Source organism: Homo sapiens, chromosome 10, assembly GCF_000001405.40.
Source record: "Homo sapiens chromosome 10, GRCh38.p14 Primary Assembly".
Taxonomy (NCBI): Eukaryota; Metazoa; Chordata; class Mammalia; order Primates; family Hominidae; genus Homo; species Homo sapiens.
This window is the reverse complement of record NC_000010.11, coordinates 97585053-97608055: the sequence shown is the minus strand read 5'-3', so window position 1 is coordinate 97608055 and position 23003 is coordinate 97585053. Positions and strand designations below refer to the sequence as shown.

Genomic DNA, 23003 nt, shown 5'->3' with positions numbered 1-23003 from the left:
TTACAGGTGTGAGCCACTGTGCCCTGCTGGTGTCTTTTTAGCGGTTATTCTTTCTCTAGAAGTAGACTTGGAAAAATATGTTTTGATGAGTTTGCTTCCATTAAAGCCAGGAAAATAAAATTATAATAAATCATGTTTTTGGTATATGAAATATTTAAGCCTAAAATAGTGCTGTGAGTTTTAACATACCTACTTCTCAATTTTCAATATTTTTTCACCCACTTTAATGTTCTTAGGGGGAAAAAAATCACCATTTAGAAAAATACTTAGAGCATTTACTTTCAGGAAGATGGAGTAGATGTACTTGTCCCAATTCTTCCCAATAAGTACAACTAAAAGCTCTGGACGTTACATAAAAATATTATCTGGACATTATATAAAAAATTATATATATATCTGGACATTATATAAAAGACATAAGAAGACTCTGGAAGGCAGAGAGAAGGAAGACCAACAAGGGACCTAGAGACCCAAGAAGTAACACAGTGCTACGTACCCTGGCCCAGACTTGGAGCTGAAGAAGTCAGCAAGCACGCAGTGCCAATGGGTACAGACAATACACGCACTAACAGAAGCCAGTTCTCTCTAGCCAGAGGACCAGAAAAGGGGTTGCCTAGCAAGATGGAAAGCTTTCAGACAGTAACTGCTCTACTCCAGCCGAAAACCAGCCAGGCCAGCAAAGACTGAGTGAAGGAGTCTGAACTGCCACCCCCGCTCCCAGCTGGGTGGTGTCAGAGCAGGCCAGGGGGAGGGAAGTCAGGACTTGCACCACTGCTCATCTTCAAAAGGCCACCAGAGCCCACCCCACCTGCTGCCAGACACACAGGCAATGCAGTGGAGGCAGTGTGTAGGGAGCAGCCAGGGGGCTCTTCTACCCTCCAGGCAGCAGGATGTCCATAGATGCCTAGTACAGATCCTAGTGCAGAGGTGTCTTTTTTTTTTTTTTTTTTAAGAGATGGGGTCTGGCCATGTTGCCCAGGTGGGTCTCAAACTCCTGGCCTCAAGCAATACTGCCGTCTCTATCTCCAAAAATGCTAAGATTATAGGCGTGAGCCACTCTGCACCAGATCCTTAGGTGTCAGTTTTTAAAAATATGTACAGGACTTGTTGGCTGGAAACTACAAAATGCTGAAGAAATAAATCAAAGAAGATCTAAATAAACAGAGAAATGTACCATGTTCAAGGACTGGAGGACAATATAGTAAAGAAGTCAGTTGTCCCCAGATTGGTATGCAGGCTTAACGCAATTTCGATCAAAGGCCCAGCAAGATTTTATTGTAGATATAAACAAGATTCTTGTAAAATTTATATGGAAAGTTAAAGAAATTAGACTAAAACAATTTTGAAGGAATAAAAAAAGAACAAAGTGGGAGGAATCAGTCTACCTGATTTGAAGACTTAGCTACAGTAGTCAAGTCTGTGTGGTATTGCAGAGAGATAGACATATACATCAATGGAAAGAATAGAGAACCCAGAAATAGACCCACACAAATATGCCCCACTGATTTTTGACAAAGGCACGCAAGCAGTTCAATGGAGGAAAGATGGCCTTTTCAGCAAAAGATGCTACAGCAAGTGAATATCCATTAGGGAAAAAAAACACAAAACCTTGACCTAAGTCTTACACTTTATATAAAAATTAACTCAAAATGAGTCACAGACTTATAAAACATAAAGCTATAAAACTTAAAAGAAAAAAATAAGAGAAAATCTTTACGATCTTCTAAGAACTCTTCAAGATTTTTTTTTTTTTCCCTGAGATGGAGTCTCACTGTCTCCCAGGCTGGAGTGCAATGGCATGATCTCGGCTCACTGCAACCTCTGCCCTCCGAGTTCAAGCGATTCTCCTGCCTCAGCTTCCTGAGGAGCTGGGATTACAGGCACCTGCCACTACCCGCAGCTAATTTTTTTTTTTTTTTTTTTTTTTGTATTTTTAGTAGAGACGGGGTTTCACCATCTCGACCAGGCAGGTCTTGAACTCCTGACCTCGTGATCCACCCACCTCGGCCTCCCAAAGTGCTGGGATTATAGGCGTGAGCCACCATGCCCAGAACTCTTTAAGAGTTATTAGACTTGACACCAAAAGCATGATCCGTAAAAGAAAATGTTGATAAATTGTACTTCATCAAAATGTAAAACTTGCTCTGCAAAAGACCTATTAAGGTAATGAAACGACAAGCTGTAGACTGGGAAAAGATATTTACAAGCCACATGTCTAACAAAGGACTAGTATTTAGAAGCTATAAAGAACTAAAATTCAACAGTCAAAAGAACAATCCAATTTCAAAATGCGTAAGAAATATAGATAGTTGACTGAAAAGGATATACAGATAGCAAATAAATACATGAAAAAAACGTTCAATAGCATTAGCCATCAGAGAAATGCAAATTAAAACCACAATGAGACGGTTTTAATTTGTACCATACATCTGTACTATACATCTATCAGAATGGCTAAAATAAAAAATAGTCACAACAAATGCTGGCAAAGCTGCAGAAAAACTAGATCACTCATACGTTTACATCAGTGTAAATTTAAAATAGTACAGCTGCTCTGGAAAGGTTTAGCAGGTTTGTTTCTGGGTTTTTGTTTGTTTGTTTCGGGTTTGTTTTTTGTTTGTTTTGGTTTTTTGTTTTTTTTTTTTGAGACAGGATCTCACTCTGTAGCCCAGGCTGGAGTGCAGTGGCAAAATCACAGCTCACTGCAGCCTCAACCTCCCAGATTCAAGGGATCTTCCCTTCTGCCTCAGCCTCCCAAGTCGTGGGACCACAGGTGCATGCCACCGCATCTATCTAATTTTCTATATTTTTTGTAGAGACAGTCTCCCCATGTTGCGCAGGCTGGTCTTGAACTCCTGGGCTCAAGCATTCGACCCCCCTCAGCCTCCCAAAATGATGGGGTTACAGGCGTGAGCCACCACACCCAGCCAGCAGTTTCTCAGAAAATGAAACATACCACTACCCTATGACCCACCATTTGTACTGCTGTGTATCGATCCCAGAAAAATGAAAACTTATGGACACACGAAAACCTGTTCATGAATGTTCATGGCAGCTTTTATTTATTTATTTATTGAGACGGAGTCTCACTCTGTCACCCAGGCTGGAGTGCAGTGGCACAATCTTGGCTCGCTGCAACCTCCACCTGCCGCATTCAAGCGATTCTCTTGCTCAGCCACTCGAGCAGCTGGGATTACAGATGTGCACCACCATGCCCAGCTAATTTTTGTATTTTTAGTAGAGACGGAGTTTCACCATGTTGGCCAGGCTGGTCTCAAACTCCTGACCTCAGGTGATCTGCCCGCCTCGGCCTCCCAAAGTGCTGGGATTACAGGTGTGAGCCACTGCTCCCTTCCCATGGCAGCTTTTAATAGCCAAAAACTGAAGATAACCCAGCTGTTCTTCAACAGGTGAATGGTTAAACATACTGTGGGGGGCCAGCCGTGGTGGCTCATGCCTGTAATCCCAGCACTTTGGGAGGCTGAGGAAAGATGGCTTGAGACCAGGAGTTTGAGACCAGCCTGGGCAACATAGCGAGACCTTGTCTCTACTAAAAATAAAAAAGAATTAGCCAGGTGTGTTGGTGTGCACCTGTTGTCCCAGCTACTTGGGAGGATAAGCTGGGAGGATTGCTTGAGCCAGGAGGTTGAGGCTGCAATGAGCAATGATCCTGCCACTGCACTCATCCCCGGTGACAGGGCAAGACCCTGTCTCAATAAATAAATAATAAATAAACATGCTGTGGTACGGCAATACCATGGTATCCTACTCAGAAATAAAAAGGAATTAACTATTGATACATGCAACAAACAACCTGGATGAATATCCAGAGAATTATGCTGAGTGGAAAAAAGCCAATCCCCAAAAGTTATATACCATGTGATTCCATATAGTATACTCTTGAACTGACAAAATTATAAAATGGTGAATGTATGTGTGGTTGCTAGAGGTTAAGGAGCCTGTGAAGGCAAATGTGAGTAGGCATGGCTATAAGAGGATGACATGAGGGATCCTTGTAGGGACAGAAATATTCTGTGTCTTGACTGTATCAAGGTCAATATCCAGACTATGAAATTATTCTACAGTTTTGTAAGATGTTGCCATTGGGGAAAACTGGCTCATGGGTACATGGGATCCCTTTGTATTAGTTCTTAAAGTTGCATGGGAATCTATAATTATCTAAAAATAAAAAGTTTGGCCAGGCGCAGTGGCTCATGCCTGTAATCCCAGCACTTTGGGAGGTCGAGGCGGGTGGATCATGAGGTCAGGAGTTCGAGGCCAGCCTGGCCAACATGGTGAAACCCGTCTTCACTAAAAGCACAAAAATTAGCCGGGTGTGGTGGCAGGCATCTGTAATCCCAGCTACTTGGGAGGCTGAGGCAGGAGAATTGCTTGAACCCGGGGGCAGAGGTTGCAGTGAGCCAATATTGTGCCACTGCACTCCAGCCTGGGCACAGAGTGAAACTCCATCTCAAAATAAATAAATAAAATAAAATAAAATAAAAAGTTAAATATAAAATATACAGTAGGCCAGTCATGGTGGCTCATGCCTGTAATCTCAGCATTTTGGGAGGCTGAGGTGGGAGGACTGCTTGAGCCCAGGAGATAAAGACCAGCCTAGGCAACATAGTGAGACCCCCATCTCTACAAAAATAAAAATAAAAAATTAAAAAGATTGCTTAAGCCCAGGACATTGAGGTTGCAGTGAGCTGTCATCACACCACTGTACTCTAGCCTGGGTGACAGAGAATGACCCTGTTTCGAAAATAAAAAAAATAAAAGAAAAAAGATTGGGAGGCCGAGGCAGGAGGATCACTTGAGGTTAGGAGTTTGAGGCCAGCCTGGCCAACATGGTGAAACCCCGTCTCTACTAAAAATACAAAAAAATTATCCGGGTATGGTGGCACGTGCCTGTAATCCCAGCTACTAGGGAAGCTGAGACAGGAGAATTGCTCGCACCAGGGAGGCGGAGGTTGCAGTGGGCCAAGATTGTGCCACTGCACTCCAGCCTGGGAAACAGAGTGAGACTATGTCTCAAAAAAGAAAAGAAAAGAAAAAAGAATAGGCCGGGCACTGTGGCTTACGCCTGTAATCCCAGCACTTTGGGAGGCTGAGGTGGGCAGATCACTTGAGGCCAGGAATTTGAGACCAGCATAGCCAATATGGTGAAACCCCATCTCTACTGAAAAATGAAAACAAAAACAAAAATTAGCTGGGCATGGTGGTGCACACGTGTAATCTCTGTTATTCAGGAGTGTGAGGCACAAGAATTGCTTGAACCTGGGAGGCAGAGGTTGCACTGAGCTGAGATTGCTGCACTCCAGCCTGGGCAAAAGAGCAAGACTCTGTCTAAAAAAAGAAAGAAGGAAAGAAAGAAAGAGAGAAAGAGAAAGAAAGACAGAAAGGAGGGAGGGAGGGAGGAAGGAAGGAACAAAGGAACGAAGGAAAGAAAGGATAAAATGTACATTAAAACTTGAATACAGGGGCACATATTTTTCTGTTGCCTCAGACTTCAGAATGACCCTGAACTTGATGGGCGTTCTCTCTGAAGTTCTCCTTTGCTTGCCCAACAAAGAATTGGGGTATACAGTCTGACCACAGAACCGATTATTTGAAGACAACACTCTCCTGCCTTCTAACTCCTTTGCCAGCCCCAGTCATTCCTATTTTTTCAGGACCTGGCCCCCGATAGCACGGATTTAGAGGCCCCTGGTTTACACTCTTTCTCTCCAGGCATCTCTAAGTGTGGTCCTAGGGTTACTCTGTCACAATCACACAGGATGTTTGTTTCAATGCATCTTCTTGGGCCCAAAAGTTGGAACTTTAATTCGCCCCCAAGGAAATTTTAATGCACACTTAAGTTTGACAATCAGTGGTGCTCGACTTTGTCCGAAGTCAGGATTTTCTGGGAGTCACAAGGAGTTCCCACACTGGGATGTTCTCTCAAAGGATTTTCTGAAAGGAAGAGACTGAGTGGGGCCTGGTGCCAGCCCTGGGTCCTGCTCCAATGAGGACACAGACTGCCCACCCCCCGCCAGGCCGCGCCCCCGCTGCCACTGGCTCACCGCAGCGTTTGGCTCAATGAGGCGGTGCTGCAGTTTCTGGGCATCTTCCCATTGCCCCGTGCAGCACAGTCGCTCCAGCTGGCACACCTGAGCCCCCAGGACATTGGCCAGGGCGCAGACGCCCCCCACAGCTCCTGCACGAAGTAAGACGCAGAACATCAGCCAGAGCCTCTCCCCTCCAGGCATCCCAAGCCCTGGTCCCAGCACCTCTTCAGCCTGGGGACATTAGATACAGATTTCTATGTCACTTGGCTGGCTACATCAAAGGCATGCTCTGTGAGTCCAGAGTATACATTTCCAGAGAGAAGAGCTGCCTGCATATTCAAAATAGAATCCCGCAGGTCAAGCACTGCTCAGGGCTGATCTGTGAGGGGCAGGGAGCAGAGCCTGAAAGTGAACTCAAGGACGGTTCCTTCCCTGAACCCCTCCCGGAATAAAATCCCATCTGACAGTTGACACCTCCAGCTTCCTCCAATAGCCCCCTGACTCATCAGTCCTGTAAGAGGGTAGGACGGATGGGAAGCCTTTGCTCTTTTGAAATTTTATTCCCCCCAGTGGATGCAACCAGAGACAGCAGTGGGCATGGAAAGCACTCTGGACAGAGTCAGGTCACCAGGCATGTCTTCCCATTGACTGCATAAACCTGAATGAGACCCTCTCTAGTCCTCTTTGTGCCCATCGGGGCAATGAAAATGGGTTTGGCTGTGATCTCAGAAACCCCCGCCACTTCTGCAAGCCTGTAAGTATGCTTCTAAGGCTAGATAGGAGTGGAACCCTAGGCACAGTGGCCTCAAAACCGTAGAGAGAGTAGGCAATTCAGAATGAGCTAATAGAGCTGTTGTTTGTGGAATACCTACTATGTGTCCCAGGCGCGCTACAGCAGCATGGCCCTGATGCTCTCTAATCCTCATGATCCCTCTGTACACAGAGTAGAAACTCAGGCCCAGAGAGGTGAGTGCTTTGCCCAGCATTACTCAGTGAATAAACTGCAGAGCTGAGATTCCCCCCAGCCTCCAGAGCCTGTGCTTTTTTTTTTATTTTTAATCTACTCCACTTCCAGGAATGAGGGAGAAATGGATCCCTTCTTCTTCCCCTTCACCGTAGAGGCCATGACATGGCAGGGGAGATGTACAAAGGCCTAGACAACCAGCCAAAGTCTGGAGGGACCAGATGGAATAGGAACAAGCATTCTCCCCTGCAGTGCTGGAAAAGTCCCTCAAATCTCTACTCACTGGGGCTTCAGCTGAAGGGAACAGCTTCCCTTCTTCTCCCTTCCCTCCAGGGCTCAAATCTAATCCAAACCCAAGGACCCTGACCCCAAACAGACAAGAGCAGTTGATCTAAGTGACATTCCTAGGGATCCTGGATTGGAACAGAATCTGATCAGGCAACTGAAGATCCCTGGCTCAACTCTGTAGATCTGACAATTCATTCTGGTCTGGGACAGGGGAGAGGAAAATGGACTCCTGAACTACAGAGGAGGGCCCCAGGGCCTCTGCCCTCAGAGAATGATGTACAAGGTGGGATTAGAGCAGCTAAGTTTGTCATCTAATCATGGAGCTCAGGACTCAGAACAAACTGCAGGCATCCCTACTACAGGCCAGGGATTGTACACGGCCATCCTCCTTCAGCCAACAAGGTTACTCACAGCATCCCGAATTCAGACAGGTAAGCGGCGTGGCCAGGTTTCTGAGTTTTCAGAGTGGGCAGGCTGGCAAACTACCATCTGCAGACCCAGCCCCAGCCCTCACGATCTCTCCCGGAAGACCCAGGTACCTGGGTATCTCTTGGTCACCCATGACAATTTGAGAGCAGTGGGCGGCCTACCCAAGGCATAGCTGGCCATCAGAAAGCCAGCCGATCCAGCCAACACCTGAAAATCCTGCTTCCTGGTCTTGTGAACAATCAGCCCAATCCTGGTCACCTGCAACAGCAAATGTGGTGTGAGAGCTGTGCCCAGAGCCTCATCCTGGATGAGGGCCGGGTAAGTGTGGTGGAATGAAAGCCCAGTGCTCAAAGAGATGCCCTCAAGAAAGTCCCAGAGAGCCCGCACGACAGAGAGAATCCACACAGAAGCCAAGGTTGGAAACAGATCTCAGAGCTGCCCTCAGGAGCAAAAGTGCTAGGACCCAGAAAAGGAGGAGAGGACCCCAGCCCCGGAGCTGCTGCCACTCACATCACCACCGCTGTCCTTCATGCCCACAATATTCGGGTGCTGGGAAAGCGTGACCACTGCATCCACAGGCAGGTCCAGCCCTGTGTTGGCTGGGACACTGTACAGCACCACAGGGATTGGAGAGAGATCAGCAACCTGGGGAGGGGGGCGCAGAGAAAAGCAGGAGAGGGCAGCCGCCCCAGGTCCCAAGAGCCAGAGACTTGCCCACCCACAGGTCCCAGCCTGCTTCACTACAGGGCCACCTGGACAGGCCTCCCTCCCATGCTACGTGCCCCGAGTGTAAGCAATCACAGTGGGTCATATTTATGGAGTGCTTTCCATATGCCACGCACAGTTCTAAGGCCTTTATGTTCCTGATCTCATTTAATGCTCACTGCAACCCTATGAGACAGATGACATCATTCCTCCAATTTTAGAGGGGAGAAAGCAGTAACACAGAGTGGTCAGGTAAGCCTCCCAATGTCGTGCAGCTGATCCATGGTGGCAGTCCACCCGTTTCCTATAGCTGCCGTTCATGTGAAGCACCACCCTATTCCCAGCTTCCCTTATCTCCTCTCCCTGGGCAGAGCCTCCTCTTGGTCTCAGGCCTCACACACACCTTGGTGTAGTGGTGAATGAGGGCCGCACTGCTCATGCGGCCACGATAGTAGCAAGGGGTCACCACCATGGCCGCGTCAGCCCCGACCTGGGCCATGCTGACGGTCATCTCCACTGTGGCTTGAGTGGCTGCCAGAGGAAGGAGAGAGGTGAGAGCAGGCAGAAGGAGGCCTGGACCAGGACACTGGGCCAAGCGAAGGTGCCTCAGCATGTCCCAGAAGAGGCAGAACAAGGAGACAGGACCCAAGCTAGGGCCTAGGAGCCTGGATCCTGCACATCCACCCACCCCCAGGGCCCAGGGCATTCTGGCTCACACTCGCATCCGGAGCCAGCTAGCAGGAGCCTGTTCTTGGGCATGGCCTGGCGCACACGGCTCACCACCTCGAGGCGCTCACTGCTGGTCAGGAAAGGAAACTCGCCATTGGAGCCCTGGACCACGAAGCCTGCAAGAGACACAGCTGACTAACTCCTTCCCATCCTCTACCGAACAACTAGGACATTGGTGTTCCTACCTTACGACACCATAATCTTTCACACATTTCCTTCCCATCTTTGCAGACAGAAGGTTCCCACACAGCTGCAATGACTGTTCACATCATTTTTCTTTTTTAGACACAGGGTCTCACTCTGTTGCCCAGGCTGGGATGCAGTGGCTCAACCATAGCTTGCTGCAGTTTCGACCTTCTGGGCTCAAGTGATCCTTATGTAATAAGGTTATTACAATTTTAAGCCTTGTAGAAATGGAATTAAGCTTAAATAGCCTTCTGCAGTTTGCTGTTTGTTTAATACTATTTTTTGAGCTTTGTTCATAAAAGCACACGTAGCCCTGATTCATTCATTTTAATTGCTGTATAGTATTCTGTTGTAAGGTTAGAACACAATTTATTTGTCATTCTCTTGTTGAGAGCATTTAGAATGTTTCCTTCTTTTGGCTGGGCCTGGTGGCTCACACCTATAATTTCAGCACTTTAGGAGGCCAAGGTGGGTGGATCGCTTGAGCCCAGGAGTTCAAAACCAGGCAGGGCAGCATGGCTGCCTGTCTCTACCAAAAAATGGCCTACCTGTCTCTACCAAAAAAGAAAAAAGAAGAAAAGAATGTTTTCTTCTATTTGCTATTGCAAACAATGCTGAAACAAACATTTTCTGTAAAGTCTTCTGTGCATATGTCTAAGAGTTCCTCTAGAGTTCAGATACTTTGGTGTGTTAATTGCTGAGTCATAGCTATGTGCACCTTCATCTGTGACACATTTTTTATGTATTTACTTTTTCTTTGAGGGTCTCACTCTGTCACCCAGGCTGGAGTGCAGTGTCACAATCACGGCTCACGGCAGCCTTAGCCCCCCAGGTTCAAGTGATCCTCCTGTCTTAGCCAGCTAGGATTACAGGCATGAGCTACCATGCCCAACTAATTTGTGTAGTTTTTTTTGTAGAGATGGAGTTTCACTATTTTGCCCAGGCTGGCTCGAATTCCTGGGCCCAGGTGATCCTCCCACCTTAGCCTCCAGAAGTGCTGGGATTACAGTCATGAGCCCCCATGCCTGACTGTGCGCCACATTTCTAATCAATCAGTGTAGACCTCAGGAGCAGCATAGAATGTCATACATGCCAAATCATGGTATTGTCAGAACAAATTTTTGCCAACTTTCTGGGTGAAAAGTGAATCTCATTGCTTTATTTTGCGTTTTCCTGTTTTTATCAATCACTTACTTGGGATATGTCTAACCAGTATACCTGTACCAGTTACAGGTGAGCCACAGTGCCCAGCCCGCTTAACTTTCTCTTTCTTCTTCTTTCTCCTCTCTATCCCACTCCATTAAAGAAAAAAAAAATGGCAGTAGTTTACAAACACAGAGTACAATACAACAGGATTCTTAATTAATAGAAGGATATTTGGGCCTGTAATCCCAGCACTTCAGGAGGCTAAGATGGGGGGATCACTTGAGGCCAGAAGTTCGAGACCACCTTGGGTAACAAAGTGAGACCCTGACTTTACAAAAAAATAAAAAATAAATAAACCAGGTGCATTTGAAGCTGCAGTGAACTATGATTGTGCCACTGCACTCCAGCCTGGGTGACAGAGCAAGACCCTGTCTCAAAAAAAAAAAAAAAATTGGAGGCTATTTGGGAGAAGGAAATGAAAATAAGGCCACAAGCAGTATTGGTATACAAAGTTCCTGCCATATAGTTGTGAGAAATGAGCCAGAAATTCGATGTGGAGTTTCCTGATAGCCAGAGCTAAAAGGGAAACATGGTCAGCTAACAGACATGTAGAACCCAAAAGATAAAAGCAAAGCAACTGCCCCGGAGAAACACAGAGTTTCCTGGCACTGGGACCAAGAGAAATTGTTCCTGTGAGTCATCCTTCAGGGGACACTGTGTGATGTAGACTCCACTTCATTCCACCAACTTTTTCCATGCTGTTCACTACACCGTCAGATTCCAGAGTGAGTTGCCAGGATATCAGGATATCTCTCATTGGATATTTAGCTGCTTTTTTTTTTTTTTTTTTGGTAGTTATTTTGCATTGGTAACATTGCAGGGAACGTCTGGAGGCACACAGCTTCTCGCTCCTGTGGGATTGCTTCTGGGGGATTGATTCCTGTGTGTCAGGCTAGCAGCCCAAGGAAGGGCCTCCCTGTGTCTTGCTACATGGGGCTGCAGTGCTCTCCGTAAAAGCTGCCAGCCCTGGGTGAGGACTCCAATCTAGCTACGATTGGACCAGCACCCTCTGACTAAAGAGTCAAAGATCAAACTCTTGCCACTCTCTCTGTTCCAATACCAAAGTCATCTTCCTCCCCAACCCTGCCTGCCGTCCTGGGCTGGGGCAGGTTCTTGCTGCGGCCACTGATTCAGCCACCATCACCCTCTTCCTTCACCTCTCATCCTGCTGGTCAGTTCCAGGGGCCCTACAGGTGGAGCTGGTCTAAACAGCAGGACAGCTGAGGCTTGCACTCTGGGAGTCAGAAGCAGACACTGTGCTCAAAGCTTCTATGACACAGCCCTCTCTTCTGTCTCATTGAAGGGGGCAACTGACTCATGCCTGACTCCCAAGAAGGAAGAAGTGCCTGGCTGGAGAAGAGGGAGTGTGGCGTAGTCAGGGCAGCACTAGACTCAAGAGTCACCTCTGGATATTGAACAAGTCACATCACATCTTTGAGTCTGTTTCCTTTTCTATGGGATGACAGTGAAATCATTTCAATCCTAGCTTATAGGACTGTTTTAAAGGATAAGAAAATGTCCCAGAAATCTGTGAGTGGGTACCCCAAAGAGCCCCTCCTTCACCCTGGTTAGATGTCCAGGTGTGAGCCTGATGTGTCCCTGTTAGTGTAGAGAGGGGGCCAGAGGAGAGGAAAAGGCCAGGATCTCCAATGAAGCAGGGACTGGGGAAAAAGCAGAAAAGCAGAGGGCTCACAGAAGAGGGGTCAGATGCACAGGCCCTGAAGTCAGAGAAGCCCAGGCTAACTCAATTAAAAAATAGTGATGATATTAGTGCCTTTCTCAGAGTTTTGTTTTGTTTTGTTTTGAGACAGAGTCTCACTCTGTTGCCCAGGCTGGAGTGCAGTGGTGCGACCTCGGCTCACTGCAGCCTCTGTCTCCCAGGCTCAAGCAATTATCCTGCCTCAGCCTCCTGAGTAGCTGGGATTACAGGCACCTGACACCATGCCGGCTAATTTTTGTATTTTTAGTAGAGACAGGGTTTCACCATGTTGGCCAGGCTGGTCTCGAACTCCTGGCCTCAGGTGATCCGCCTGCCTTGGCCTCCCAAAGTGCTGGGGATTATGGGCATGAGCCATCACACCCAGCCTCTCAGAGTTGTTTTGAAGTTTAAATGAGATACTATTTATAAAGTACTTCGAATAGAACCTGGTGCTCAATAAGTGTTAGCTGTCATTCTTATGGAGTCAGGAGAAAGTGCTCAAACCTTAAATCAGGAGGGTGGCTGGTGTTGAAGGGGAGGCTGCTCTCAATGACCTCTCATTGTACACCTACTGTGATATTAGGAGTGGGTGTACAAGGCCCCCTCCAGCTGTAAGACAAAGGAAGATACTCTCCCCTGCCCCCATGATTACACTTGCTGCTCTGGGAGCTGGGGTGGCAGTGAGGGGAGTGGGCGTTTGGGGCTGGGGACACATAAGCAACATGGTGACTTACTGTGGCTAAAAAGAATCACATAAGGAGTGTCCCCAGACATTATTATGCGTTCTTAGTCCATCATCATTGCCACCTCCTCTGAGAAGTCTTCCTGGGATCTCTCCACTGGGCCTCCCTGCTCTGCATTTCCGTTACCTGTTCCTTGTATAATATTTCCCCATGGACAGCACCCATCTACAAAGGTCCCTAGAACTCTTCAATCCTCCACCCCCACCCCCATGTGTGGGATTAGACACAATTTTTCAATCTGACCTCTCCTATAAAATAAGAAATTGGGCCAGGCACAGTGGCTCACACCTGTAATCCCAGCACTTTGGGAGGCCAAGACGGGTGGACTATTTGAGGCCAGGAGTTCGAGACCAGCCTGGCCAACATGGTGAAACCCTGTCTCTACTAAAAAAAAATTAAAATTAGGCCAGGCACAATGGTTCACACTTGTGATCCCAGCACTTTGGGACGCCGAGGCGGGCGAACCACAAGGTCAGGAGTTCAAGACCAGCCTGGCCAACATGGTGAAACCCCGTCTCTACTAAAAATACAAAAATTAGCTGGGCATGGTGGCAGGCACCTGTAATCCCAGTTACTCAGGAGGCCGAGGCAGGAGAATTGCTTGAACCCAGGAGGCAGAGGTTGCAGTGAGCCAAGATTGGGCTACTGCACTGCAGCCTGGGTGACAGTGTAAGACTCTGTCTTAAAAAAATAAAAAAAATTAAAAATCAAAAATTAGCCAAGCATGGAGGCGCGCACCTGTAATCCCAGCTACTCGGGAGTCAGAAGCAGGAGAATTGCTTAAGCCTGGGAGGTGGAGGTTGCAGTGAGCCCAGATCGCACCACTGATCGGTAGCCTGGGTGACAGAGTGAGACTCTGTCTCAAAAAAAAAAAAAAAAAAAAAAAAAGACCAGGCGCAGTGGCTCATGCCTGTAATTCCAGCACTTTGGGAGGCCAAGGCAGGCCAATCACTTGAGGTCAGGAGTTCGAGACCAGCCTGGCCAACGTGGTGAAACGCTATCTCTACTAAAAATACAAAAATTAGCTGGGCGTGGTGGTGCACGCTTGTAATCCCAGCTATTCGGGAGGCTGAGGCAGGAGAATCGCTTGAACCCGGGAGGCAGAGGTTACAGTGAGCCGAGGTCGTGCCACTGCACTCAAGCCTGGGTGACAAGAGTGAAACTCGGTCTCAAAAAAAAAACAAGTTGACTGCCATGGTTCCCCAGACACTGCACTTCCCTCCCTCTGCACCCTTGCTTGTGTTGTTCCCTTCTGCCTGGAACACCTTCCAAATGCGGGCCAACAAGCTCAAGTCGGCTACCCAGCATTCTGTTTTCCTTGCCCAGTGCTTGCCTTACTTTGCCTGGATGCATTCTGGCCTCCTGTGTGGTGCCTAGCATAGGTGTTGAGGTGTGTGTTGACAATTTGTTGTGCAAAAGAAAAAGAAGTTCTTTATTTTTTTCTGCCCTGGTCTGCGGCCAAAGTTTTTTGCATGACATAATTCATAACCTCCCTCTGGAAAGAAATTACATTCCTGATGAAATGCTTAAGCATTTTTGTGATGAACTTTATTTATTTTTTTCTTTTTTATGTTTTTTTTGAGACAGAGTCTGGCTCTGTTACCCAGGCTGGAGGGCAGTGGCATGGTCTCGGCTCACTGCAACCTCCACCTCCCAGGTTCAAGCAATTCTTCTGTCTCAGCCTCCCGAGTAGCTGAGATTACAGGTGCCTGCCACCACACCCAGCTAATTTTTTGTATTTTTAGTAGAGATGGGATTTCACCATGTTGGCCAGGCTGGTCTCAAACTCCTGATCTCAGATGACCCACCTGCCTCAGCCTCCCAAAGTGCTGGGATTACAGGCGTGAGCCGCCGTGTTCGGCCCCCAATGAACTTTAATGGAATTAAGACTTGATCTGGAAAATTAGCCACCCTCCCAGCCAACTCTCAGGCAAGAGCCTAGAAGCTGTTAACTACTCTTCTTTGTCTTTACGTAGTCTTAACAGTGAGTGATCTGACCATTCTCTTTTTTTTTTTTTTTTTTTTTTGAGACAGAGTCTCACTCTGTCGCCCAGGCTAAAGTGCAGTGGAGCGATCACTGTTCACTGCAACCTCCGCCTCCTGGATTCAAGCAATCCTCCCAACTCAGCCTCCCAAGCAGCTGGGATTAAGGTGGGCACCACCATGCCCAGCTCATTTTTGCATATTTAGTAGAGACGAGGTTTCACGAGGTTGTCCAGGCTGGTCTCACAAACTCCTGACCTCAAGTGATCTGCCCATCTCGGCCTCCCAAAGTGCAGGGATTACAGACAGGAGTCACCACGCCCAGCCTGACCATTCTTTTTTTAATAAAAATATTCTTACCAAGAGTATATATTTGAGTTAGCTGCTTACAGGTCATTTTGCTTGCATTACAACGATAATCAAACTTTGACACACACTCATAATCAAATTGTCTGAAAACTTTTTTTTTAACTTGAAATATTGAATTACTTTTAGATTTACAGAAAAGTTTCAAAAATAGTACAGGGATTTTCTGGCTGGGCACGGTGGCTCCCACCTGTAATCTCAGCACTTTGGGAGGCCGAGGCTGGCGGATCACGAAGTCAGGAGATGGAGAACATCCTGGCTAACACAGTGAAACCCCGTCTCTACTAAAAATGGAAAAAATTAGCCAGGCGTGGTGGCGGGCGCCTGTAGTCCCAGCTACTCGAGAGACTGAGGCAGGAGAATGGCATGAACCCGGGAGGTGAAGCTTGCAATGAGCCGAGATCGCACCACTGCACTCCAGCCTGGGCCACAGAGCAAGACTCCGTCTCAAAAAAAAAAAAAAAAAAGTACAGGGATTTTCTATACATCCTTCACCCAGCCTCCACCAATGATAATGTCTTACCTAGCTATAATATGATGACCAGAACCAAAGAATTAACACTGGTACAATGTCATTAACTAAGGACTTTATTTGAATTTTGCCAGTTTGAGTCTGAGGCTGCAGTGAACTATGATATCACCACTGTAATCCAGCCTGGGCAACATGGCAAAACCCCATCTCTACTAAAAATACAAAAAAAATTTGCCAGGCATGGTGGTGTGTGCCTTTGGCCTTAGCTACTCGGGAGGCTGAGGCATGAGAACCGCATGAACCCGGGAGGCAGAGGTTGCAGTGAGCCAAGATCGCGCCACTGTACTCCAGCCTGGGCAATGAAGCGAGACTCTGTCACACACACACACACACACACACACACACACACACACACACAAAATGAAAGAAAAGAAAAAAAAAAAATTAGCCAGGTGTGGTTCCACACACCTGCAGTCCCAGCTACTTGGGAAGCTGAGGTGGGAGGATCGCTCGAACCCAAGAGGCAGAGGTTGCAGTGAGCCGTGATCACGCCTCTGCACTCCAGCCTAGGCAGCAGGAGTGAAACCCTGTCTCAAAATATACATACATAAAAAACAAGAAAAAAAGGGAAAAGAAAAAAAAGAACCCAAGATGATCAGGTTAAATAGCTAATGCACGCAGGGCTAAATAAATACCTTAGGTGACGTGTTGATAGGTGCAGCAAACCACCATGGCACACGTTTACCTATGTAACAAACCTGAACATCCTGCCCATGTAACTCAGAACTTAAAATTAAATTAAATTAAATTAAATTAAATTAAGTTAAACAAACAAGAAGAAAGTGTTGTGCTCACTCAGTAGCTGTAGACTTAGGTGGTGGGGAGGTACTAACATGGATCCCAAGGGGCCCCAGGAAGCAGGTGGGGCTGGTGAGAGAACTGCCTTGTAGGATGCCACATGACTTGAGAGCAAAGATAGCACCAAGACGACAGGGGCCCTCATTCCCACCTGGCTTAGTTACTCTCCTCTGAAAGCCTGTTTCTCCTCCAAGCCCAATACCTGGCTGCTCCCCTCTTCCCTGGCAACATCAGATTGGGGGTGTTGAGACGTCTAGAGGTACCCCTTTTCCAGAACCTGAGACCAGGGTAGCTGTTTTATGGAGCTTTAAATGAGGCCCAGTGAAAAGGCCCCAGGTCGGGGGCCTTTTCTCCACTCCACTCCAGAGGACTGCTGGAGAGGGAGCCCCCTCCCTCCATCCCTGCCAGACCTTAGGCTGCCCACAGAGCCCCTGGACTCAGAGTGAAGGCACACAAAGCTTTATTGGCTCCGTTCCAGGCAATGACATCAGTGTGGGGCTCTTGCCTGCTCCCATCTGTCTTCTCTTGGTGGGTCTTCAGGGGCCTCAGGGTCTATCTCACCTGCGCTGTGTCCTCCCAGCTCTCCCTCCAACAGGGGCCATCTTCTGTGGCAGACCCCACTCATGGAGTTTAAAGAGCCCATAATCCCCGTGAGGAGCCTAAGAAAGTAGGGATTTGGGCACAGCATCTCACCCTGGCCTGCATAGATGGCCCCATAGGAGAGAAAACAGACGTGTGTGTGAGCCAGCCTTGCTGGGGGCAGGGGCGTCTCCATCCATGGTTAGGTGGCTTCCAAGAAGTCACAGATCTAGTGTCTGCGATTAGGCAGGCTGTGGCTCTGGTGGCTTGGGTGGCCATGGTGACTGTGGTGACTGTGGCCATAGAAGGTGTGTGTGTGATTGGCACCAGCTATGGTGTTTTCCCGCTGGGTGAGGAAATTCTTTTGCAGCTTCATCTCTACCTCCTCGAGGGCCCTCAGCTCCTCCTGGTTGATGTCCTTGGACTCTAGGTGACCTGAGTGCTGGTAAGCTATGGCCCGCTGCAGCATGGAGTGAGCCAGGTGCCGCCCCTGGGTGTCAATCTCCTTGGTGCAGGCAGCCACAGCGGCCCACGTGGCCTCATCAGTGGATGGGGCTTTTCCAGACTCCTGGTGGATCTCTTGGATCACTGAGGGCCCAGATGTCTTCTGCCTGCTGGTGAAGGATTCCCGGTGCAGAGCGGAGCCCACTTCTCCGTGCCTCGTGGTGAAGGTCTCTATGTGAACCGTGGAGCTGACCTCTTCACTCCCACTCTCAGTCTGGGTAGCATTGCCACTAGCGCTGGCATTGTTGTCGAGGGCCAGCTTCTCTTCGGAAAGGCGGCTAAAGTGGGATTTAATCCAGCTTTCATTCTTTGCTTTATGGGATTCTGGTGACTTGTCCTTGTCTGATGGACACTCAGAGGTTTCCTTTCTTCTCCTCTTTCTCTGAACCCACAGCATGAGACCTCCACCTCCTAGCAAGAGGGCAGTCCCCAGCACCACCTTGCATGATGGCTGCTGGATGAGCTCCAAGAAGGTCTCCAGGACCCTACACCAGGCAGGCAGAGCTAAGAGCACGCTGGGTGATCTCTGGTGGTATGATTCATGCTTGAAAGGGCAGGCTCCCCAAGGATGTCTGACAGGCAGGCCCCCTGCTGCACCCTCCCTAGGTGCCCCCCACCACCTCAACAATGAACCCCATTGTGAGGAAGGCAGTTGCGGGTGGGGTGGGGAGAGTGGGGTGGGGAGAGGCCGCAGCATCCCTCATGTCTAGCCTGGCAGGCATTGCCTGAGGCCTGGGTCCTGTCTCCTACCCTGACAGCTGTCCCCAGGCTCAGTGAAAGGGCTGCTTCTCCAATTCTGAGTCCTTCTGCCTTCTGCTTGGAATCCATTCTACAACTTAGGCCTTTGTATCTTCCAGTCTTTGGTTTCTCTCTCTCCCCATCTGGTGGCCCCCAGGGGGCAAAGTATGCTGGGTCAGGCTGGCCATGACAGAATGATCCCCTTGACTGGGCTGGTATCCATTCCTAGCCATCTGAGACCAGTGCACCTCCATCCAGTGCCCATGTCTGCTGCCAGCCTGGCATATTCCATCCTCATTTGCAGCCCCTCGCCTCACTACAGGGCAGAGTTCAGAGGGAAAAGAACCCAGGAAGGAGCTCATTCTGGAGTAACTAACATGAGGTCACAATGGGCTGAGGGTGGAGAGGCAAGCAGTGGGCTGAGAAGGCAGAGTGGACAGGAGACTTCATCGGGTCTAGATCCCTGGGGCCACTCCGGGATGGTAGCTGCTACCTCTTGCCTTAGTGAGGCACCTACAAACCCAGAATTTGCCCCCCCATAAATAGGCATGGTTCGGGTTGTGAGCAGGTGGGCTGGCTGGCCAGGCTTTCCATAGGTGCAGACAACTAAAAGCCTAATTAATCTCCAAGGCCTCTCAGGGTATAAACAGGCCTGGGCCACTGTATTTTTTTTTCCCCTCAAAAGCATCTAGCCCATTTAAAAAAAAATAAGAAATGCCAAAATGGGGTTGTAAACATTGTGATGCTTTAAACAAAATATTTTCTTTAACAGAGTAATGGTTTTAATATATACAAAATATTATATCTTTGCAAGAAAGCATGGTCCACTCTATGTATGGAAGGAATAGGACACAAGTGTTTTATGGAGAACCTCATCTTCCCAGTCCTGCTGGACTAGTTCTGTGGTTGGCTAACCTCATTTGGAAATAACAATTCAAAGTCCATCTTTGAGGGTGTTTATGGGTGTGAGTTCAGGGCCATAGAGCCCTTCTGTAATGACCCCTTCCTCTAGTCTCTGGTCATAATTTTTATTTAAAAAGAATACTCTTGGCTGGGCGCTGTGGCTCACGCCTGTAATCCCAACACTTTGGGAGGCCGAGGCGGACGATCACGAGGTCAGGAGATTGAGACCATCCTGGCTAACACGGTGAAACCCCATCTCTACTAAAAATACACACACACACACAAAAAATTAGCCGTGCATGGTGGTGGGAGCCTGTAGTCCCAGCTACTCAGGAGGCTGAGGCAGGAAAATGGCGTGAACCTGGAAGGCAGAGCTTGCAGTAAGCCGAGATCGTGCCACTGCACTGCAGCCTGGGAGACAGAGCAAGACTCCATCACAAAAAAAAAAAAAAAAGAAAGAAAAAACAAAAAGAATACTCTCTATTCAAATAATCAGTACAAATTAGCAATGCTAAAAAGATTTTTTAAAAAGAGCTACACGGGGCCGGGCATGGTGGCTCATGCCTGTAATCCCAGCATTTTGGGAGGCAGAGGCAGGCAGATCACTTGAGCTCAGGAATTCGAGATCAGCCTGGGCAACACGGCAAAATCCCATCTCTACTAAAAATACAAAAAATTAGCCGGGTATAGTGGTGTGCACCTTTGGTCCCAGCTACTCGGGAGGCTGAGATGGGCAGATTGCTTTAGTCCCAGGAGGCAGAGGTTGCAGTGAGCCGAGATCGTGCCACTGCAGTCCAGCCTGGGTGGCAGACTGAGACCCCATCTTAAAAATAAATAAATAAATAAGAGGCCCAGCGCGGTGGCTCACGCCTGTAATCCCAGCACTTTGGGAGGCCGAGGCCGGCGGACCGTGAGGTCAGGAGTTCAAGACCAGCTTGGCCAACATGGTGAAACCCCATCTCTACTAAAAATACAAAAATTAGCCAGGCGTGGTGGCAGGCACCTGTAATCCCAGCTACTCAGGAGGCTGAGGCATGAGAATCGCTTGAACCCAGGAAGCGGAGGTTTCAGTGAGGCAAATCATGCCACTGCACTCCAGCCTGAGCGACAGAGCAAGACTCTGTCTCAAAAAAAAAAGCTACACAGTTTCAGGGAGTGCTTTCCAGAAGAATCTCTAACTCTTCACTGATTCATCCAGGGCAGCTTTCCACCTCCTATTTATTTGTTTTAATAGAGACAGGGTCTCACTATGTTGGCCAGGCTGGTCTCCAACTCCTGGTCTCAAGAGATCCTCCTGCCTTGGCCTCCCAAAGTGCTGGGATTACAGGAGTAAGCCACTGTGCCTGGCCCTCATCTCCTCTTCAGAGGACCTTTAACTGGCTGCAGGAGGCCCTTACAATGTGATACGTTCCCTCCTCAGCCTGAGTGTTGGGCTGCAAAGTCTACCTCAGGGGCCAGGACAGGGCAAGAGAAACACAGATTTCAGAGCTAAAGTTGTTTGTGTCTTCCTTCCTGGGCATTTTGGCTGCACCCTGGAAGCAGGGAAGGGACCCTCTATCTCTGTGTTTTCTGTGACAGTGCCTTGGGAGGATTATATTGACCCTGTGGCTAGAAGCCTGAAGGCTCAGTTCCTATTCTAAAATGAGGACTGGATTTGAAAGGTTAAGTGGTTTCCCCAAGGTCTCTGTTAACTGGCAGAAGTGGCAGGATTCTTGCCCAGGTCCTCTAACTCAAGATGCTGGGCTCTTCCTACCACACCCCGCTGGCTCTCTGGTGTGTGGGTGAGTGATCAGATGGGAGCTGGAGCCTGCATAGGTTGCGAGGGAGACAGACAAGTGGGTATGTGCAGCCCACAGCCTGCTAAATCCACGGAAGCCTGTGCTCCTGGGCACCCCATGCCCTCTGCAAGAGTGGGTGGGTGGCCCAGAAGGGAGGGTCCAGAGAAGAGTCTGGGGGTCTCTGTGGATTCTCTGGGTGTCAGGCAAACACCAGATGCAAAGTCCACCCTCCCCACCCTGAACTAGAGCATCCTTGAACCTTGAAGCTGAAGTAAGGTCTTCACTTAGAGGCTCAAAATGCTTCTCACTTCAAGAGAACCAGGACCTCACCAAACCTCCAGGCCCCACGAGCCAAGCACCAGCAGAAACCTAACAGTTGTGCCCTGCTCAACGTGGCCCTCCACAGGGCATTCATTGTCCCCAAGGAAGGGGCACATTCCCTCAGTACTGAGCTATGAATGATCAACGTGTCCATCAGGCCAGGGGTCACAGTCACAAAGCAGCTTTGCTGCAATGCCAATCACACTGTCATTTTAATCATTATTACCATTGGAATCAGTACCTTCCAATGTATATTACTCCACAATTTATAGCACGATTTCACTTGCATTCTCTCAGATTTTTTTGTCCAACCATCCCATAATATGAGCATTATCACTCCCATGTGTCCGATAGGGACAGCAATCATCCCACACTAAGTCAGTGCCAGAGATGTGATTTGATTTTTTTTTTTTTTTTTGAGATGGAGTCTTGCTCTGTCGCCCGGGCTAGAGTGCAATGGTATGATCTCAGCTCACTGCAATCTCTGCCTCCCGGGTTCAAGCGATTCTCCTGCCTCAGTCTCCCGAGTAGCTGGGATTACAGGCACACACCACCACGCCCAGCTAATTTTTGCATTTTTAGTAGAGACGGGGTTTCACTATGTTGGCCAGGCTGGTCTTGAACTCCTGACCTCATGATCCCTCCGCCTCGGCCTCCCAAAGTGTTGGGATTACAGGCGCTCACTCCAGAGCTGTGATTTGAAACCAGAGTCCACAGTCTACACGATACTGCCTCAATAGCAGCCACAACAAAGCTAGTGCTGACCAGACACTCCGTTGAAATAGTGTGGCCTAGCAGCTCCAAAGGGTTTATAATGAGAGTCAGCGAGGGAGTAAAATGGAGCATGGGCCATGCAGTCAGACGAGGTGCAAACCTCAGCTCAGCTATGTGTTAGCCGAATGACCTTGGGCAGTGACCATGTCACTCTGAGGCCCAGATTCCCATCTGTGGGATGGTCCTACAGAGAGCACTGCCTCAGGGGATTGTGCAGTAAGGAATGGGGATGGGCGGAGCAGGGCAGGCAGAATTTGACATTTTCTTCTACCTTCATTTATTGTGCCTGGGACTCTGTTACATGTTGATTGTTGCAAATATCATCTGGTCCCTAACCTCAGAGTTGGGGAGACCCATGTGTAAAGAGAGATGGGGTCACAGGAGCCACAACAGGAGTCACAGGAGCCAAGGGGTCACAGGAGAACTAATTCTGGCAAGGAGGCTTTGTCCAGAAGAGAATGTACAAACAAACTTTGGAGGGAACTGGGACTGTGGCTGGGCTGCCACGTGACCCCAGCCACATGCCTTCACATCTGCACCAAGTGACAAGGTTGACAAGGACTTTCACGCCCATTATCCAGTCCAACCTCAGAATCACTCTGGGAGCTACAAAGGCACTTTAACAGTTTACAGCTGGGTAAACTGAAGCAGGTGAGGTTTAGCTTAAGGTTACAGGCCAGCGTGGAGCTTCCTGCCTGTCTCCTGACTCCAGACCAGTCTCCCCTGTT

General features: G+C 48.5%; 2 protein-coding genes across 3 annotated transcripts in view, besides 3 other annotated features; both read right to left on the bottom strand.

Annotated features, from left to right (window-relative positions):
- Positions 1-23003, bottom strand: part of HOGA1 (4-hydroxy-2-oxoglutarate aldolase 1) — a 28414-nt gene that overhangs the window by 4747 nt on the left and 664 nt on the right. The window contains exons 2-6 of one of the 2 annotated variants that reach the window (NM_138413.4): positions 9153-9281; positions 8840-8967; positions 8242-8376; positions 7893-7989; positions 6066-6199 (exon numbers count right to left, since the gene is read on the bottom strand). In NM_138413.4, coding sequence (NP_612422.2) covers positions 6066-6199; positions 7893-7989; positions 8242-8376; positions 8840-8967; positions 9153-9281 — 623 coding nt within the window. The remainder of the gene's footprint in view (positions 1-6065; positions 6200-7892; positions 7990-8241; positions 8377-8839; positions 8968-9152; positions 9282-23003) is intronic. The other variant, NM_001134670.2, reaches the window with a different exon arrangement.
- Positions 263-762: an enhancer, noted in NCBI's record as "H3K4me1 hESC enhancer chr10:99367051-99367550 (GRCh37/hg19 assembly coordinates)". NCBI's record gives its function as "activates a minimal SCP1, AML or CMV promoter by ChIP-STARR-seq in primed H9 embryonic stem cells {active_cell/tissue: H9 hESC(primed)}" and the evidence as "EXISTENCE:reporter gene assay evidence [ECO:0000049][PMID:30033119]".
- Positions 763-1264: an enhancer, noted in NCBI's record as "H3K4me1 hESC enhancer chr10:99366549-99367050 (GRCh37/hg19 assembly coordinates)". NCBI's record gives its function as "activates a minimal SCP1, AML or CMV promoter by ChIP-STARR-seq in primed H9 embryonic stem cells {active_cell/tissue: H9 hESC(primed)}" and the evidence as "EXISTENCE:reporter gene assay evidence [ECO:0000049][PMID:30033119]".
- Positions 11490-11784: an enhancer, noted in NCBI's record as "tiled region #10262; K562 Activating non-DNase unmatched - State 7:EnhWF". NCBI's record gives its function as "activates a minimal TATA promoter and a strong SV40 promoter by Sharpr-MPRA in K562 cells {active_cell/tissue: K562}" and the evidence as "EXISTENCE:reporter gene assay evidence [ECO:0000049][PMID:27701403]".
- On the bottom strand, positions 17122-18335 carry C10orf62 (chromosome 10 open reading frame 62). The gene has a single exon (NM_001009997.3). It carries the CDS (start codon positions 18156-18158, stop codon positions 17487-17489), a length of 672 nt encoding a protein of 223 aa, NP_001009997.2. The 5' UTR covers positions 18159-18335; the 3' UTR covers positions 17122-17486.